Raw genomic sequence first — 19,799 nt, 5'->3', positions numbered from 1 at the left:
GCACCATTGCACTCCAGCCTGGGTGACACAGCAAGACCCTGTCTCTTAAAAGAAAAAAACACTGTGCTGTACACCTTGCATATATATTTGATTCATCAATTAATTTTTGTCAATTAAATATCTGTCAATTAAAAAAAAATTTTGGCTGGGCACAGTGGCTCACACCTGTAATCTCAGCACTTTGGGAGGTCAGGGCAGGCAGATTGCTTGAGGTGAGTTTGAGACCAGCCTGGGCAACGTGGCAAAATGCCTTCTCTACAAAAAATACAAAAACTAGCCAAGCTTGGTGATGTGTGCCTGTAGTGCCAGCTGCTTGGGAGGCTGAGGTGGGAGGATTGCTTGAGCCTAGGAGAATGAGGCTGTAGTGAGCTGTGATTTCACCACTGCACTCCAGCCTGGGTGACAAACACCTTGTCTCAAAAAAAAAAAAAAAAAAGAAAAAAAAAGATATTGTATGGGAGAAAAATTATAAAATAGTATAACATAATATAAACCCAGGATGTTTTATGCCCTCTATAATGTGTTATTTTGGATATTTCAAATATATGTAAAAGTATTTTTGAAATATGGAAAATGTAATTATATTTTAGTATCTACCCTAGAAAAATGAAAACTTATGTTCACACCAAAACCTGTACACAATTGCTTATAGCAGCTCTAATCATAGTTTCAAAAATCAGGAAATAACCCAGATGTCCTTCAGTGTGTGAGGGCTAAGCCGTCCAGTGTCACATCTATGCAATGGAGACAGCTACTTGGCAACAGAAAGGAGATAACTGTGACACATGTGACCATCGATGACCTTCCATATGATGAGCGAAAGAAACTGCTTCAAGACTTATGTCCTTCATGCTTCCATTTCAGGACATTCTCAAAAAGACAGGGATGGACAACAGGTCAGCGGCAGCCAGGGGCTGGGGTCGGGGAAAGGACGGTGTGAGGGAACTCGGGGTGGTGGGGGTGGGGGATGGAACCCTATTCTGACTACGGTGTCAGTTCACAAACTCACACGTGTGTTAAGATCAACAGAATGTTACACCGAAAGACATTTTTAATGTATAATTAAAACAAAGAACCAGCATGTCATGAACGAATTTTTAAAAAGCTAATGGTAACAAATCTTTTAGGCAGAACTGTTGTATTTTTGTTTTGTTTTGTTTTGTTTTGTTTTTAAATCAGAAATCACAGTTAATCTTAATGATCTCAACCACCATACATCCTATTCCACAGGTGAGCTGTTAAGTAGGCTTAGCTGGGGCAATCCCCCCTGGAGAAGTCTACCTCTAAGATTGTGAATGTATGTTTCCATACAAACCTTTTAAATTGGAGCTGATAAATGAATTCACTTTGGATTAATGATGTATTAATGATGTATGAAATGATGTATGAAAATGATGTATTATGTCAATTCTTTTAAGCTAAGTTACAACTGAATAATTAATGGCCAACAGAAAATAAGAAAGACTAAGGAAAACAGTTTTGTATAGCTACCTTTCTTGATAGAAATGCAGTTTGTACTTACAGACTGCTTAACTATATCAGTCCAGTCTGGAGCAACTGCAAATTCAGGATTTTCTTCCAGCCACCTGGGTAGATCCTTCATTGGAGGCGCCATAGCTCCACCCATCTGGGTAGAGGCATTTGACAAATGATTAAAAACACAGTCTTCCCTCCCCTTTCTGTTAATCTACTCCCTCCCCCTTCTATAATACACACATACACGCACACACGCATTCGGGCAGACAGGATTCTTTTCCCCTATAGAAGAAGGCAGGATAAAACACTTCCTTCTGGGCTAAGAAATCGCATAGTGATCAATTCCCTTTCCCAGCGTTTACCTTCTTCCCATTTCGTTTATTGACAACAGGCACCCTTTCTTCTCCTGTCAAAGTGTTTATATCCAATTTATTAGGGTTTCGACATCTATGTCGTTTCTGTTTCGGTTTCTGAAATGAGGAAAACAGCACATCTGCATTCTTCTGCAAAAGAAAAAACATATTTAGTAAAATTGGTATTTAGTACTTATTCTTCTCTATATAAATGCCAAAGAGAACTGTCAGATCATCTTCAATTATTATGGAAGTTTCAAGAATCATTTTAATTATTAATATTAGAAACCATATTTTTCTCTTTGAAAGAAAAAACTCCTATTTTACCCGTCCATTAAGGAATACATAAGTGAGAATTGGCTTTTCCTTTTATCTATCAATAACCTCACTTAAAGTTTTTCTTTAAATGTTTAACCAAGTCATGATACTTTTAAAGGAGGCTTTCTGTAGTACTTTTACTAATTTCTAGTTAGTGGCTCCAATGAACACAGAGATGATACCCCATCAACAACATGAGACTGTCTGTAATGAGAACTAACCAACAAACAGACAGATCTTGTAGGGGGTGGGGGTACTTTCTGAGTGGCAAGAACTCTAGGCTGAACCCAACAAAATAAAATGTAAAACTCTACATTTAAGTTTTAAAAAATCAATCACATAAATACAGAAAGCAAAAGACTTGCATTGCTAGCTAGCAAACAGTTCGTGTGACAAACCATTTGGAGATATGAACTGTCTAACGTTTAATATAAGGCACCAGGATTAGTTGCCATAAAAGCAGCTAATACAATCTTGGGCTGCACTAACTGGTCAAATCTCTGGAAGTAATTGGCTTCATAGCACTCTGGGATGGCGGGGCCTCGTCTGGAGACTGGAGAAAGTGCATTCAACAGTGTTACCCCAATACTAAGACTGCCTGGAAACGATGCCATGGAAAGAATAACTGAAGAAGTCACATGAGTTTGATGGGAGAAGCAAACAGTAAGGAAATGCATAACGCGCATCTTCAAATAACTGTAAGGCTGCCTTCAGTAAGACAGACCTGAAGCTAGTATCTGTAATGAAGAAGATTCAACAACAAAGACCTGGGAAATGTTTGAGACCAGGAAACATTCAAGGAAAAGGCAGAGGGACCAGCTGTCAGGGATTTCTATGTTGTAAGGGAATGAAGTGGACCGGCCTGCAAGATTCCTTCCAACTCTAAACTCTGCAATACTCACTGGTACATAACTTGGCATATCAACAGTGTAAGTAGGGTGCAGCTTCAGCCATTCAACTAAATCCTTATTTTTAGGAGCATCTTCCCCCACCAGCCTAGTCCCATCTTCAAGATTGATAACAGGGATCCGTGTGTCTGGGTCCAGCTGTCCGGGAGAAGGAATGTTTCTTGTTGGTGGGGTCTCTATATCTTCTTCAAAAGCTTTGGTCACCTCAGCATCCTCCTGCAGAAAGTTCACAATGGTATGAATTCTCACACGAAGAGAGAGCCTCTGACAATGTCCTATTTCAAGAAAACGCTATCCTAGAATGGATCTTTTATCAAAAAGAGAAAATAGTTACTAGAAACAATGTCTAGTTGTTTGGGAACAGCTATTAAAAGTCAGAAAATGAGGCTGGGCGCGGTGGCTCACGCCTGTAATCCCAGCACTCTGGGAGGCCGAGGTGGGCGGATCACCTGAGGTCAGGAGTTCAAGACCAGCCTGGCCAACATGGTGAAACCCCATCTTTACAAAAAATACAAAAATTAGCCAGGCATGGTGGCACTTGCCTGTAATCCCAGCTACCTGGGAGGCTGGGGCAGGAGAATCACTTGAAATCAGGAGGTAGAGGTTGCAGTGAGCAGAGACTGTGCCACTGCACTCCAGCCTAGGCAACAGAGTGAGACTTCGTCTCAAAAAAATAAAAATAAAAAGAAGAAGACGAAACTTTTATATCATTCTTCACACTGTAGAACTAGTAATTAGGTAAAAAATTTATAGTCCACTAAGGTTCCATGCTCTGAAATCCTAAGCCAGCCACTGGGAATACAACATGGGGGGTATAGTCTGAGCTGATATGCATGAAAGGCGGCCTCTCAGTCTCTCTTGGAGATCCCCGGATAATGATATTAAAGATAATTTATACTAAAGGAATTTCTAAAAGCCAGTCTATATGTAACTTATGGGCACTCTGTGCACAATATAATTTTGTTGGTAGTGGGACACTTTGTCTCAGACATGTGTGGCAACATTGGAAAGACCACCACTAACTGAAGTCTACAGTTATTTCAACCTCCAGACACCCATTTCTCCTTCCCCACAGCTCTACCATGGCCCAGGCTTTTGTCACTTCCCACCCAGGTTATTGCAATATTCCTAAATGGTCTCCCTGATTCTAATCCCACCTATCTTCAATCCAACCTCCACACCACTACGCTGGAGTCAGTTTTCTAAAATGCAGCCCTTCCCAGTTCAAAAAATTATGTCACATCACTCTCCTATTTTTTTCAATAATTGCATCCCTATTACCTCCAGGACAAAATCCAAGTTCTTCCGAATGGCATCAAGGCCCTCCATGATTTGCATCCTGCCTTCTCTGCAAGCTCATCTCTGCTGAAGCTCACTTCCTCAGCAAATTCCTCAGTTCTTCAAACCCAAGAGGCTCTCTCCTCTTACACATGTTCTCTGCCAACCCTTTTAAAATGACCAACTACTACATGATCTTCAAAACTTAATTGAAGTACAGCCATCCATAGGGAAACTTCTTCATCTGTTTCTCCCCATATCCTCTTCCCTCCACTCCCAGGCTTCCTTTGGGCTCACAAAGTACCCTAGACATCCCTTGGTCGTGGCACACATGAACAACCAGGACACATTATGATTTATGTGCTACCCCATCCTAAACACTGCATTCTCCAGTGCAAGCACTTGTCAGGACTGTATTTTTTGACTCTCAGTGCTGGCACAGGGAATAGTGCCAGCTTGTCCACTGTTGCTGAATGCACTCTTACTTTTTCATGGCAGCACAGTTAGAGTGCTGACAAAATACTAAATTCTAGGATCTGTCCTCTTTCATCCAGGTAACACTGCTGGCCTTTACATCTTTTCCTACTTGGTTTATTTACAGATCGAGCAGTGCTTTCCTTGTATTTTATGTGCATGCACATCACCCCCGACAACACCAAATGAGGAATCCCTACATTTCAAAATGTGACAGTTAAAAAAAAAAAGTTTTAAAAATACATTCTCTAACTTCAATTAGGAATTCTCTCAGGCTTTCTAAATGGGACTTTAGAAAAAGAAAAATATCAACAAATTCTTAACAACGGCTTAAAATAGTGAAATGAATAAAATCAGTCTCAGATTTAAAATAGAATGTGTACTTGCAATAGGAAAAAAGCACGTGTGTTGCATTATTAATTCCTAACACCTGATCCAGAGACAAAGCTGTGTCGTGATCCAAATACTGAACATGATTGCCTGTAATCCCAGTACTTCAGGAGGCTGAGGTGGGTGGATTACTTGAGCCCAGAAGTTTGAGACCAGCCTGGGCAACATGGTGAAACCCCGTCCCCACCAAAAATACAAAACAATTAGCCAGGTATGGTGGTGCGCGCCTGTAGTCCCATCTACTAGGGAGGCTGAGGTGGGAGAATCAATTGAGCCCAGAAGTTGGAGGCTGCACTGAGCCGAGACTGCGCCATTGTGCTCCAGCCTGGGCGAAAGAGTGAGACCCTGTCTCAAAAACAAACCCTGTTTCAAAAACAAAAAAACCTACAAATATTGAACATGATAACAAACAAAAAGAAGTGTCAGCTGCAGAAACTTCCCAATTTGTTAAAGTTTATGGAGAAAGAATTTATCAGTCAACAAAATCTATCAAAGAAGTAGTTTCAAACAGGAAGGCTATTTACTAGTGCTACAACTCTGTCTGAGGGCCATACCCCTAGAAATGGCATTTTAACTTACAGAAAACATGTAAGTCACAGCTAGTCCATTACAAAGTGTACTTTTACAGGATTCTGAAAACAATCATACCATCAACAAATATGACCATTATGATGATCACTGCATTGGTAATCAATTTTGAAAAAAATTTTCTTTATTTTTTTGAGACAGAGTCTCACTCTGTCACCCAGGCTGGAGTGCAGTGATGCAATCTCGATTCACTGCAACCTCCGCCTCCTGGGTTCAAGCAATTCTCCTGCCTCAGCATCCTGAGTAGCTGGGATCACAGACACGTGCTACCAGACCAGGCTAATTTTTATAATTGTAGTAGAGAAAAGGTTTTGCCATGTTGGCCAGGCTGGTCTTGAACTGCTGACCTCAAGTGATCCACCTGCCTTGGCCTCCCAGAGTGCTGGGATTACAGGCGTGAGCCACCATGCCCGGCCCAATTTTGAAAATTTACTCTTAGCCACCTGAATGCTTCTGTTTTAATTAGACCCCACCAGAGGGCAAAGAAATTTCAGTGGATGTTATTTTTCATTTCTGAACTTTAACTCAACCATGTCTTTTCCTGCCATCTTATTAAGCTTTCTCTGAGTTCAAGAAATAGAAAATGGGCAAATAATAATAGGGATGGTGTAAGTAAAAACATGTTGAAACAGACAACTGTCTTCCCTCAATCTCAAATTTCAGTTTCCCAAACTGTGTCCCACTGCTTGAAGAAGGGTCCAGGATGGCCCAGTACCTGGAAGGCTTCCTGGAGCACCCACTCCTCACAACACAGACAAGGAGTTCCAGCCACTATGGTGACTGGGGCTTCTGGTCAATAGGTTCAAGATATATAGTGCTAAACCATTTTTTAAAAAAGCACATGTAATTGTGCTCTTTGGGATAAAATTCTGGTCATCAGTGAGTCAGGCACCACATTTTTGGGTGAGATGTAGTTGAAGCAGATTAAGAAAGAAAATCATTTTGATTATACTGCATTAATTTATTTCCTCTGAACTGAGAAAGGAAAAGTCAAAATCCATTGGTTCACACATTCTATTCAAACCTATTCTAGCAAAAGCACAGCTCAAATTTTTAAAATATCTACTTAAGGAGACAGGAGAATTTGCAGTCACTAGCTTTTTATGTTAACCCAAATCTTAGGTCCAAAATGAAACATTTATACTAATTTTAATAAATGCCAGGCCTAAAACATATCAATGAAACTTGTTCCACCTCAAGAATTCAGAGATAACAATTCTAGATTCAGAAGAACATGTTTCTAGGTTTGGCTGTTCTTCTGAGAGCAATCAACACATCAGAACTTGGGAAGAATACATCCTCAAGCTACACTTCGTTCAGGCCAAGTGATCTGTATCAATGATCAGAATCATGACTGTTTATTGTAAAACTATTTCTTTAGTGGAGGAAGCTGGCTTTCATACAATGCTGCTGAGAGAAACACAGCCCAGCATCGTGAGCATCACAGGACCCTCAGCTGTCAACACGTGCAATCGCCATGCAGGCAAGCTCCCCAACTTACTGCACTCAATGACGTCCGTTTGTGGCTCATGAAAAGCAGATCAAGTCCCTCCACATTTTTCCTCCTTCCCCGCCTCCTCTTCATGGGAGGCTCTCCATCCACTAGGGAGCCATTAAGGAGATGCCTTGTGGGTGTGCGCGAAAGGCCTGCTTGGAGCAGTTCCATTTGAGTCTTAAAGGCATCAGACACTGGTGTTGAGACATTAGGCAAGATAAACTTTGAAGAAAGAGATGAAAAATTTGAGGTAGAGCTTGTTGCCTCTCTTGAGGCCTTTGATAAATCTACAACTTTTTCTTGTCCATTTTCTGAGACCACCTGAGACTCTCGAAGCTGGGCAACCATCTCCATGAGATTTCGCCTCTTGGCAGCTCTTTCGGCCTCAATTTCGATTTTTCTCCTCCTCCTCCTCCGCTGGCGAGGGACAGAGAGGTTGAGGGCATCTTCCTATTGAAAAATTCCAACAGAACAGAGTTGCAGTGAGCCAAAACAGTACTGCTATATGGGCTGGCTTTTAGAAATAAGGAACAAGAAGCTTAAGGAATTAAGCATTCATGACTGGTGCACAGAGCTGAGGAAACAGCAGCTATCTTATTTCTAAGCAAGGCCAGTGAAATATAAGCTCGCAAACTCAGTTAAGGCTTAGAGAGCTCCCTTTTAAGCTGCAGAAACAAGCCATTCTAATTCACCTTTGACAACTGAGGAGACGTAGTGATGTCCTCACTCCCACTAATGCTGGCTTGGCCGACCATGGAGAGCTCAGCAAAGCTCCTCTTCTGCAAGGGGCTGTCCACTGTGGTGGGTGTGTAACCTGGGATGAGGCCTTGGAAATCAAACATCTGGCGCCTATTTACTGGCCATTTGCCTTTCAACACTGCTTCACAGATGTTGTCTAAGCGGTTTATCATTACTCTATCCTGGAGGGAGAAGAAAAGTCACAAGAAATTTTAACAAAGCCCTGGTTAAAATTACTAGATAAATACATCCATCAAGATGCAAAAGAGCATAAAATGTTTAAAAGTCAACTGGAGGACAAAAAGTAAAAGAAAACAAGGCAAGAAATCAAACAAGAAAGTAAATAAACAAAATCTCCTATAATGGCATTGCTCTGGCAGAAGGTCCTAGGTGGCTTCAACACAGAAAACATGCTATTTTTAATTACGAACACTGAACTACATAAAACAGAAAAATGTACTACATAATCACCACCTTCAAAATATCTTCATATTTAAAAAGTAACTCTTGTACAAGCTCCATAGAGCTCTGCTGGTGGATGTCAGTAGATGACAATGGAAACCCTGCATTAGCTTCTTGCCGCCCTGGCCCTTCAGATCTACAGGCTGGATTGCAGTCCCAGGAAGTAGGACATCATTAGCGTCACTATTAATAAAGTTCAGCATTATGAAGTGGGCACCAACCTAGGAACACCTAATGAATGTCAATTTGCATTCCCTACCTATTATCACTTCAAATTTCATTGAAGCGTGTACATTAAAAATTTCTAATTACAGCTTTAGACTGAGTTTCCATAGATTAAAAGTGCCTGCTACTATAACCTTTGACTGATCTGGGAAACTCCCTCCTACACTCAATAAAGGAGGTTAGCATAACAGGGGAACTAAAGGGATAGAGAGAGGAAACAAAATGTCTTTGACAGTACATTCTTTGGTCAAAATTTTCACCTTGTTTCTTACACAATAATACTGGGAAAGACGAGCCTGGGGGGTAGGCTGACTGAAGCTCATTTTTTGTGTTGTTTTAAACCAGACAGCCCTGTTATGGTGATTAGGATGATTATTTCCTCACCCTGAAAAACAGACCTAAATTACACAGGGAATTATTATAAAATTATACTATTTAGCCAAAAAAGTAATTTCCATTTTGCTTTTGGTTACAGATAACTACATTTGGAATTATCTCATAATGCGTCAAAAGCAAATGGGTCAACAGTACACCCTCTTCCAAGTCAAGAAGCTGGTAGGTTTCCAAAACTATAAAGTTGTCTTAAATCTGAAGGCTTTATTTCACAAAAAAATTTTAAAACACAGTGATAATCCATACATTATGCTAGACAACGGGGGTAAGTAACCTAAAAGCCACATGGAGCCAAAGATCAATCCATATACACACTTCTATTTCTTATTATCTTTCTTTCACATCACATTTCCCATCCTATTAGAAAAGTGTTCTACAATTTTTTTCTTTGGGCTTTTTCAGATCATTCTTTAAAAGTATAAGAAAAATCTATAGTCTTCATATACTGTGTCAAAAGTTTACCTTAAAATTACTTGAAAAATCAAGCTAGAAAGATTTCCTCTACCCTAATCCTTTTTGGTCAGCAAAACAACAGCAACAAAAACCTGCCAACCTTAGGCCAAAACGAGAAGGCAAATGTTCTTTCATGAAGGAGCTGAGCTACTGAAGGATCTCCGTCCTCCATGTAGAATCCATCTCGGGTTTCATCTCTAGCAGTGCTCATGGAAGCATTGCTTTCTTCATCAAAATTCTTCCCTCTAGAGACAGCTCCTGCTGAGAAATGAGTTAATGTGCATTACTCACAACCACAGTATCAGGGAAACTGAAGTTTAGAAAGGACATGATTAAAAATGTGAATACTAATCAGCTCCATTTTATTGAGTACCTACTACATGGCTAGAATGGTATTGGGCACTGTTGTCTAAAGCTTACAACAGCCCTTTAACATAGATGGTGTTATTTCCATCTTGCAGATGATGACACAGAGGCTTAGAGAGGTTAGTCACTAGCCACCTAGCACCGTGCAAGTAAACCTTACAAGAGGCTGATAGCCAACCAAGTCATTGACTCAAGAGTCTATGTTCTTCCACACAGAAAAAAGGGCTGACCTTCTGTCAAAAGTTGAAGGTTCCAGCTACAGCACAGTACGTGCTCTATTTTTATTCTGGGCCAGTTTCAGCAACCGTACTGTGACTTAAAAAATTGGTTATTTTTAGATTCTATTCCCACTCTTTACTTCTGAATCAAAACATAACAAGCACCAGTTGTTTCAAAATGATTAACAATATTTACTCAGTGAATGACCACCTTCCCTCACATTTGTCAAAATTAAAATCACATAGAATTCTTAATACACTGTCACTCACTACAAGTTAACTTCCATCCTTAAACCAGAAATTGCTAATGTGTCCATGCAACCCTTCTTAGAGTTTATGTTCTTCAAAATACCATGGTTAGGTGCTATAAGGTGCGAGAGCAAAACACAGATATAAGCATAACTTGAAATTATCCCTTCACAGAAGAAAATGTACACTAAGTACTCGTGAAAAAGAGCAGGTGCCGTGCTGCCAGAAAGCAACGCATCTCACAACCAGCTGCTGCAGGGTCAGGAGAGGGGCCAGTGGTAAGGCCTTACCTTCGGGCTGGGAAGACTCTTCCGACTTATCGTCATCCTCCAGCTTTTCCTCTTCATCCTCTTCGGAACCTTTCTCTGAAATAGATTTGGACCCAGTGTCTGCGCCGACCTCAACACCTTTCAGTTCATTTTTCACAGAGCTGGCCTCTGCCTCACATTCCTGCTTGCTCTCCTTCCCGCTGCCATCGGTTTCTTCTTCCTCTTCTTTGCCCTCACATTTCTCCTTGGCAGCTGGGTTTTCAGGCTCCTCCACTTTGCCTTCGGCTTGTTCCAGTACCCTCTCATCTTGAATATGAGCAGATGAGATGACTGGAGGAGTCTGGACAAATCCAACTGCCAGTGGGTTCAAGGAAGATGTATTACCTGCCCCTCTGTTTTGAGCAAAGTTTTTATGTGCATCCAAGAAGGATAACTCAGGGTCATTGAGGATGTGATAATCCGTCCGACTGACCCCGTGTTTAGCAGCACCAACCAGCAAGTCTCGGTCATGCCGTCCACACTCCCACCACTCTGGCAGATCCAAGCTTGGCTGGCAGAGCTTAAGCCTCTCTCCCAGCTGGGGGTGATGGAGAACCTGCTCGCGGATCTTCCGTAGCAGCTCAATGCGGTACAGAGTTCGAGAGGCTCGCTCCTCTGTGATCGGCTCAATTATGGAGGAGAGGTCGGGCGGTTCTGTAACACAGAAGGGCTCATATTTACTTGGGGAGAATTCAAGGGCATTCTACATTGTACACTTTCTTATTTTTCACTTTACTCGTCTTTTTGTATAGAACTTTGTTGCTAAATGTACCTACCATCATCTGGCTTGACGGGCATTCGACATACTCGCCTACACATGGCCACAAAACAACTGAAGTATTTCTCCAAACTCTCATCAGATTTTTTGTCAAGCCTGGCAAAGGCTCTAAATTGGTTCCAGTCAAATTGCTGTTTCACAGGGTCAAAAATAACCCCAAAGGTGGATACCACACGGTAAAAATCAGCCTCTTCTCTTCTTGTCCACCTGTTAGAAAGATTATATTAGCTTGCATCATACTTCAGGAAAAGACTTAATATTTACTGTTTCTTTTCTTCTTCCCCCCAGACTTTATACATGGTAGTTATTTGGGGGTGGGGAAACAGACTGCTTTGTTGGAGCGAGCCTTTCTTTGGTGGTCACTACCTTTGATATGAGTCCTGTCTCTTGTGGGTCTACAGGAGCAGGGCAGAGGGGCATGTACCGGGAGCTGAGTGGAAACCTTGAAGAAACTCACTTTTGCCGCTTCTCAGATATAATAGCTTCCCTTTCCGCTTCCAGAGCTCTCACTTCCTCTCGAGGCCGCCGTCTGCGCCGGTCAGTCTTCATTAGGGCCTCTTGCCTCATCTGTTGCCTTTTATAGCTGCGCTGATAGGCAGTAATGAGCCGGCGCAGACGTGTAGTCAGGGTTGAAGTGTTAGGCCAGTAAAGTTGGCCTAACTCAGCATTACTCTCACTGTGCTTGCCTGGGGAAGTGGAAAAACATTTTTGAAATGTGTAGCTGCAATCTTGCAATACAGAGTATTCCAACAAAACAGGATGACTCATTAAGATTCAAATGACAGTGTGGGAAAGGGCATCTCAGTGCCCTCATTTTTAAAATATAAATAAGTAATAACATTCACTTGGAATATATACACTTATTTCTTTTTTACCTCCTTAGAGGGGATGAAAACATTATTTATTAGTCCTACATAAAGAAACACACTTTACAGCATAAACTTCTTATAAGGTACTCTCCTCTAATGTATGTGCAATAATCATCTTGAGTATAAAAAATAACTGCATAATTGTTGTGTAATGATTTTATATTCGGTAAAAGGTCAATATTCTAAATAAACTGAAAATATTTTAGGTGAATACTTAGCAAATGCTCTATGCTCTATTCCCAAGAGCTATAGTTTAGATGCTTAAAATTTTTCACTAATTAGTGTAAAATATAAATCAGCTAATTATCATCAAAGAAATAGTTATCCTATCTAAGAAATTCAATGTCATGAAAACACAGCCATTAACAAGAATTAAAATGATTCACAAAACAGGTCAGTGTAGAAGAAATAAGGTGTTAAGACACTGCTGTCATGAAGCAGGACAGTCCCTACCACGTGAACAATGACTGCTCAGTGCACGTCTGCTCGGCTACACAAGCTTTTCTGGGACCTTACCTGTGGCATGTATTTCCATGGATTCTTCCTTATCCTCTGAAGGAGAATTTGCAAATTCCTTGAAAGCAAAGCAAGAAACAGAATTACTTTAATTTGGGGTCTCATTTTTCTTTGTCTTTTAAAGAAAAGGTCATTATCTATAAAGTTTAACAAGTCTTATGTGGGCATATAATATTTTAATGGAGCTATAAAAGCCAATATACTCAAGTTCATACATCTATTTCATCTTTGAACGGTGTTCTGGTTGGTTTATATTCTGGGTCTTCATCTTCTCTATCAAATTCTCCCCTATGTAAAACAAACACAAAAATTATTTGAATCATACTGATAAGCAAAAGAAGGAAGGGGGGTGGGTAGGAAAGAGTAATAATCTGCCCAGTGCTACTTTTAATTATGGGTTTGACATCAAAAGCAACTCTATCAGTATTTAAAACATGCAGCCATGGCAGTGTGGTGGAGGGGGTCTGGGGAGATTGCGGGAAATGACATTTGGAAAAGAAAAACAAGTTTCAGATTATCAAGATAATGTATATTGTTTAAACAGTCATTACGACATACAAATAGAGTAGACTGGTAAACATCTCCTGAACTTCAAATCAGACACAATACAGTGTGTACTGCAGGGTAAGAACTGAACCCTGCCAATAGATGTGAAACTGACATAAAGTTTATTCAAATTTTAAAATGTCCTTCTTACCCGTCACCACCATCTGCTAGCATGTCTGTTCCTCTTTGCTCGGCAGCTATGGCCTTGGCATCAGGCATACCGACTCGTTCCAGAAAGCACAGCGCGGGGTCAGCTCGCATGGAGTTGTACTTCTCATAGCCTGTGCCGTGCCCATCCGTGCACAGAAAACACACAGAAACAAAGAAAGGCCCCATCACTGGCAAAATCACAGCACTGCCACAACACAAGTTTGTTTTTCAGTCAAGGTTAGCATCTCTGTTGAATCCAAGTGGACCTTGTTTTAGTAGATCATTCTATGGAACGCTCCTTCTAGGGAAGCTACTGGGAGCCAAGTTACACTTCAGGGATATTATCAGAATTACCACAAACACTAATAGAAAAACAGGTTCAGAATAACTGCAAGATGCCTGGGAGGATTTCTGACCCTATTTTTCCCCAGATCTAATTTTGCTTGACATTTAGAAGGATTCGCAATGTTCCTTTATGACCTCTGCAGGGGTGCACTGAGTCCACCCCCATCCACTCTGTGAATAGCATCAGTCCTGCAGGAACTCGCATGGCTGGCTGAAAAATCCCCATATACATAAGGCCAGCGAACCTGTCTTATTAGGTTTAGGATGATGCATGTCAGTAAGATGACACGGTTCCCTCTATGGTTTTCAAACTGCAATTTGCTTTTTGACTGCCCAAGTTGACTAGATGGAAAATGGCAGATCCCAACAGTGCACTGCGGGAAAATGATTTTGAGGCTGAGCTCACAAAATGTGGCTGCAGTACATAGGCAGAACAGCACAATTCAATTAGGATGTGTACTACAACACACCGCTCCTAACTGCTGTAGAGCCGCAAGCCAAACTGTAATCATGAAAGGTTTTATAAGCCATCATTCTCCCCTTTAGTCAGGCTGGGCTGCTGAGAATACCTCCGCGACCTCCAGAGAATTGGGATTATAATCAGGAATCGCTCACTGTATATATCATGCCAGTTCTGCATCCCCAGCCTTTCAAAGTTAACAAGGCTGCATCCCACTCAGGGGAGCCGCGAGTTCTCAGCACTGACATTTGTGAAATATTGCTTGGAACAAAGCCCAGGAGGCACTTGTACAGATTAATAGCAGAGGTTAAGCCCACCGTCCACTTTGACACTGGTTGGCAGAGTTAGCAAGGGAAGCCGCGCTGGAAGCAAAGTTTAGGGAGAGCTATAGTACAACTTGGCTATTATTAAAACAAATATGGTTTGGGTTTTATTTACAGCCAAGAAAGAAATGTTTTCTTCTCAAATGCTCAACAAACATTCAAAAACAGCATCTGATATTTACAGTTCATATTAGATTTTTAGTACAGAAAAATGGTAGACGCCAAGAGTCCTTTGGAACTATCCTCATTAATATTATGACTTTGGAAAAGAGTATGTAAAGAGTTCTAAATAAAGACCAAGCCATACAGTTGAGATGTATTCAAACAGAAACGTCACTTACCATGTTTGAACACTCCAATTAAGAGGGATTTGTCTGCTTCCTTATCCCACCAATCTGCAGGAACTTCAGCATGGAAAGGTTCAGGGATCCACACATCGGCTTCACTGAAAGACAACATTTATAAGAAATATTAGTATTAAAAAAGAATTCCAAGTAATGAATGTGATACATAGCTCACATGCCCTCTCTCCCACGATAAACATCTGAGCATGGTGGGGAGGTATCAGCAAGGTTAAAAGAAAGGGCATGAGTCAGTAGCCCTCTGCCATGACCAGAAATGAACTTTATCACATGGTATCCCATTTTAAGGGTCATCTCAGAACACCAGTGCTTTAGTTCACATCTCTTTACACTACAAACATAAATGCAAACAGCCTTTTCCTGATTCTCATCACATCCCCAAGCACGAAGGACAAATACTGCATTCAAGATGCAAAAAAGGAGATGGGTTACTAGTGGTTTATGAAGGTTCTGAAACACAATCCATGATGTTTTCCGGCTACCCAGATTATCTCACTGAGGTTGAGAACAAATGTGAGCTCGCACTAACCTTGAGTCAGCACCCTCTAAGATCTTATCCGCCTGGTCTCCTATCACTTCTTGTCTTAGGTAGTACAGCATGCGGACACGCAGCAGGACCCTGGAGAGGAAGACAGAGGGGGGAAAAAGTTCTTAACTTCAGGACTGTTTGCCAACAGTGGCTTTTGGCAGCTGCTGCTGTTCATCCATCATCCTGCCAAGGCTGATTAGCCATGCTGTATGGTAGGCTTGAAGCGTGACAGATGGTGGCACATAATCACCTCTGTGTGGTGCTTTCTGCTGGCTTCCAACAGGCCTGCCTGGCAACCGCTCACACTGCACAGAGAGGGCCCGAGCTCAGCCCAGCCCAGGCGCACTTCATTTAGTTCTACCTAGTGCAGCTTGTGAAGTTTAGACACGTACCCTACCATTGCCTCTGAAGTATTGAAGCAAGTTTGTAAACAACTGAGCAGATGGCTTTCAGTAACTGTTCTGCTTCATTATCTCATAAAATTTCCTCAGCTGCTGCCTTAATACCATTTTTGGAAGCACATCAGAAGTTGTAGGAATAAATGAGATATAAAATCTGGTTTTACTACCTTACAATAAACCCTCAATATGGAATGTCAGGTTTTTCAGATTATACAACTTTGCTTCCGAGAAAGGAAGATGGTGACAGGGTGGGGTAGAAGGTGTGTCCTTGCTCTTCTCCTGTATGAAATACTATGTTAGACATTTTTATTCCTTCTAGTTTACTGTACCTGGGAACCTAAGCTGTAGTAGCTTGAAAAAAAAATTAAACATTAGAAAATTAAAATGTGTCCAATTCACTGACATTCTTAATCATTCTCAAGAAATCGATTTTTTAAAACCCTTGGAATTCTAGGAACTAGATTTTCAGTCCTGCATGGAGTTTCTCAATGGCGAAAACATAATTCTTTCAATAAAGTCCACCTGGTAAGTCCCAAAAGCCAGTGTCTACCAAAGCTAGCATCCCCTGCTGGACAGCCCTGGTGTGCATTCAGGACTGATACGTGAATCGCAGCCTTCTTGGCCATGAGTACATGGTAATACAAATGCTATTTCCCCAGCTGAATAATCCCATCATGTACTTGTACAGCACTTTACAATCAATGTCTCACACTTATACTAGCCCTTTTGATCTTCACGATAACCCTATGATGAAGCAGGGCAAGTTATAATTTCCGTTTTCAAATGGGAAAACTGATGGTAGCAGAAGATAAGTGACAAATCTAAGGCCAGAGTTACCTTGCACATGGCACAACTGGAACTAGGTCTTCAGGCTCTACTACACCATGCTGTTCTCAGGGTATGGAAACTGTCCCTAAAACTTCAAAATAACAACTAGGATTCACCAGAACAGACAACTCCCAATCACACATCAACAGATGCTCCTCAACAGGCCCTCCCCCAACCACGAGCCTACTCACGGCCAGCATGGGTTCTGGATAGGCCAAGTGTGAGCTTATAAATCCCTGAAGAGACTCACTTTGGATAACTCATTTCTATTTCTTTAGATTTTTTTCTCTTGTTAACTCATGAGATTAAACATTGACTGTACCATACTGACCAGATATTTTCTAAGAGTGTAAGTGGGGTCGGATTTTAGGGAGCACTCTTATGCCACAGCAGTAACCACCAAGTTTCTGAGATACCAAAAGGGTTGGAGGTAATGGTTCTGAAGACACCTCAGAGCCTCACCACAGCCCCAAGGAGCAGGGAAGACTTCCAAGCTGAGGCTGCCCTCATCTACTCGGGTTCAAACCTGGTTCTGCCCCCTAACTGGCTGAGGGTCCTTGAGGAGGTTACTCAACTTTAGTCTCAGTTTTCTTGTCAGTTAAATGGGGATAAAAATCATACTAATCTTAGACAATTCAAACAGATAATCCATACAAAGCGCTTGGCATGCTGCCAGTATTATGTGCTCAGACTTTGTTGCTGCTACTTTTACAAAGAGAAATGCATACTTATTTACATCCTGCCTTATCCAGTTGAGATCTTGCTGCCGAGGTCTACTGGACTCACCAGGAAAGTGAGTCCTCAAGAGGCTGAATAACTTGCTCAAGGTCACACGAAGCTAGGACATAGAGCTGATCAGTAGCATTGTTGCCTGAACTAGTGATACGGAAAAATGCATATTCAGAATAAGGAAACAACATATGCAGATGTTAGTTTAATAGGAACTGTTAACAGAACCCCAAGCAATGAAATAAATTTAGTTTCAATATTCTTCAATTATCTATAATCAGTTTTTGGAAATAAAGGTAAGAAATATGATTCCAAGCTCACAGGCAGAAAAAATGGACCCAGCAACTGAGGTAATATTAAGCAAAAAATAATACATGAACTCCCCAGTCTTCCCTCCACTGTACGCAGTTAGTTGAAAGTGGGATCATATAATGCTGACTACTATTCTCTAACCGATACTGGTTAAAAACCAGTCCTCTACAATGTTCATAGCACCATTATTCACAACAGCCATGATAACTAGCCCAAGTGTCCGTCAACAGATGACTGGGACAAACAAAACGTGGCATATACACACAATGGAATACTATTCAGCCATAAACAGGAATGAAATTCTGACACCGTAACACAAATGAACCTTGAAAATATTAAGAGAAGTAAGCCAGGCACAGAAGGACAAATAATCTGTGATTCCCCTAGGAGATACACAGAATAGACAAACTAATAGAAACAGAAAGTAGAATGGTGATTGCCAGGGGCCAGGCAAGTTACTGTTTAATTGATACAGTGTTTATATTTGGGAAGATGGAAACATTTCAGGTACAGATAGTGAGTATACAGCATTGTGAGTGTAATTAATGCCAATGAATTGTTCACTTATAAATGGTAAAAATGGTAAACGTTGTGTTGTGTATCTTACCATGTTAAAAAATAATCAGTCACCTAAAGGTACGCTCTCCTGCAACTTGACACCACATTTCAAGAAAAATGATAAGGCTGTGCAAAGGCAATAACTATACCATTTAAAAGTCTTAATAACAGAGCTGTCCCTCCATATCCGCGGGAGTATGGTTCCAGGACCCCCCTCAGACACCAAGATCCGCAGATGCTCAGGTCCCTCAGTTGACCCTCCAAATCTGCGAGTTCTGCATCTGCAGACGTGAAGGGCCGGCTGCATGTATTTTTTAAAGAATAAAAAGGGAATTAAGCTCTCCAGGTCCACCCTCTAATAACATACTTGTTACAGTGATGCTTCAGGTGTTTCTTGTAGCTGTCCTCCTGGAACAGGGCATCTGGGTTGCAGCTGGCCAGCCAGTCGGCATCCTGCACCACCGGCTGTGTGCTCTGGGCTTTCACCTTCTTTCCCTTCCTTCCCCTTGGCACAGGAGCTGACAAACCTAGAATCACCATCATAATAATAATAGAAGCCTTTTACATTCCAATTATAGTGTCAATGGCAGAGAGCTTAATGCACGAGGCAGGGAAATATGGGGTTTATGTCACATCTCTTTATCAACAGTGTGTCACAAAAGTTCCTGGTGGCTTTGTGACCCTGTAGCACAAACAGCATGGTGGAGACCTACCGGAATGGTTGACCAAGGCTCGAGTCTGGCCATCCGCTGTGGGTGTGATCAGATCCCAGATGAAGCTTTTGATATTCTCATCCCCTTTGTAATGATTAAGACAGTACACCAGGATGGTTCTGCAGATGGTTTCTACATCTTGCTCAGTGAGTTGGCGTTTATAGCGTCCGTGGGAAAGAATGTCTGTCCACCGTCCCCAACTGCAAAGCAAATATCCAGCATGCAGAGGTGCCTGTGAGTTTTGATTTATGGCTTTACTTTAAGTCAGGTACCAGCGTTGGGAAATCCTGGGTCAAAACTAGCAACAATTCACACTGGGTGATAGGAAAGAAATCCAGGGTGCAAGAGTTAAAAACACTCCTTTATACAGTAAGCTGCCCCTCAGTTCACTGCTTCTAAGCGCATGAGTTGAACTGCCACAAGAATAACACCCACAAAGCTAACCCTGGCCTTTCCAGGTACATGAAGGCTGTAGCAGCAATTTTCAGGACATGAGTGCATCCGAGGGCCTGGAAATCATGGACTTTGCTTCACACTGTCATGATTAGTACATTTTGATGTTGACCAACCATCTGAGACAAAAGGCAACTCAAGATAAAAGGTGTGACTACCCCAAAATCAAGGATGCGATGCTGAGCAGTATGGCCGCATCAACCCACCTCTAAGGGGATGCCACAGTCACTGGTGA

General features: G+C 41.5%; 1 protein-coding gene across 11 annotated transcripts in view; it reads right to left on the bottom strand.

Moving 5' to 3' along the window:
* CHD7 (chromodomain helicase DNA binding protein 7) overlaps positions 1-19,799 on the bottom strand; it is a 189,289-nt gene that overhangs the window by 3,854 nt on the left and 165,636 nt on the right. For 3 of the 11 annotated variants that reach the window (XM_011517553.3, XM_011517554.4, XM_017013612.2), the window contains exons 22-38: positions 19,112-19,311; positions 18,766-18,925; positions 17,586-17,675; positions 15,571-15,660; positions 15,021-15,124; positions 13,553-13,682; positions 13,071-13,143; positions 12,856-12,913; positions 11,928-12,156; positions 11,469-11,677; positions 10,675-11,346; positions 9,652-9,812; positions 7,973-8,200; positions 7,287-7,730; positions 3,050-3,271; positions 1,839-1,979; positions 1,523-1,627 (exon numbers count right to left, since the gene is read on the bottom strand). In XM_011517553.3, coding sequence (XP_011515855.1) covers positions 1,523-1,627; positions 1,839-1,979; positions 3,050-3,271; positions 7,287-7,730; positions 7,973-8,200; positions 9,652-9,812; positions 10,675-11,346; positions 11,469-11,677; positions 11,928-12,156; positions 12,856-12,913; positions 13,071-13,143; positions 13,553-13,682; positions 15,021-15,124; positions 15,571-15,660; positions 17,586-17,675; positions 18,766-18,925; positions 19,112-19,311 — 3,316 coding nt within the window. The other 8 variants (XM_011517555.3, XM_047421945.1, XM_047421946.1 and 5 more) reach the window with 8 other exon arrangements.

Source organism: Homo sapiens, chromosome 8 (genome assembly GCF_000001405.40).
Source record: "Homo sapiens chromosome 8, GRCh38.p14 Primary Assembly".
Taxonomy (NCBI): Eukaryota; Metazoa; Chordata; class Mammalia; order Primates; family Hominidae; genus Homo; species Homo sapiens.
The sequence above is the reverse complement of the archived record's forward strand: the minus strand, read 5'-3'. Positions and strand labels throughout refer to the sequence as shown.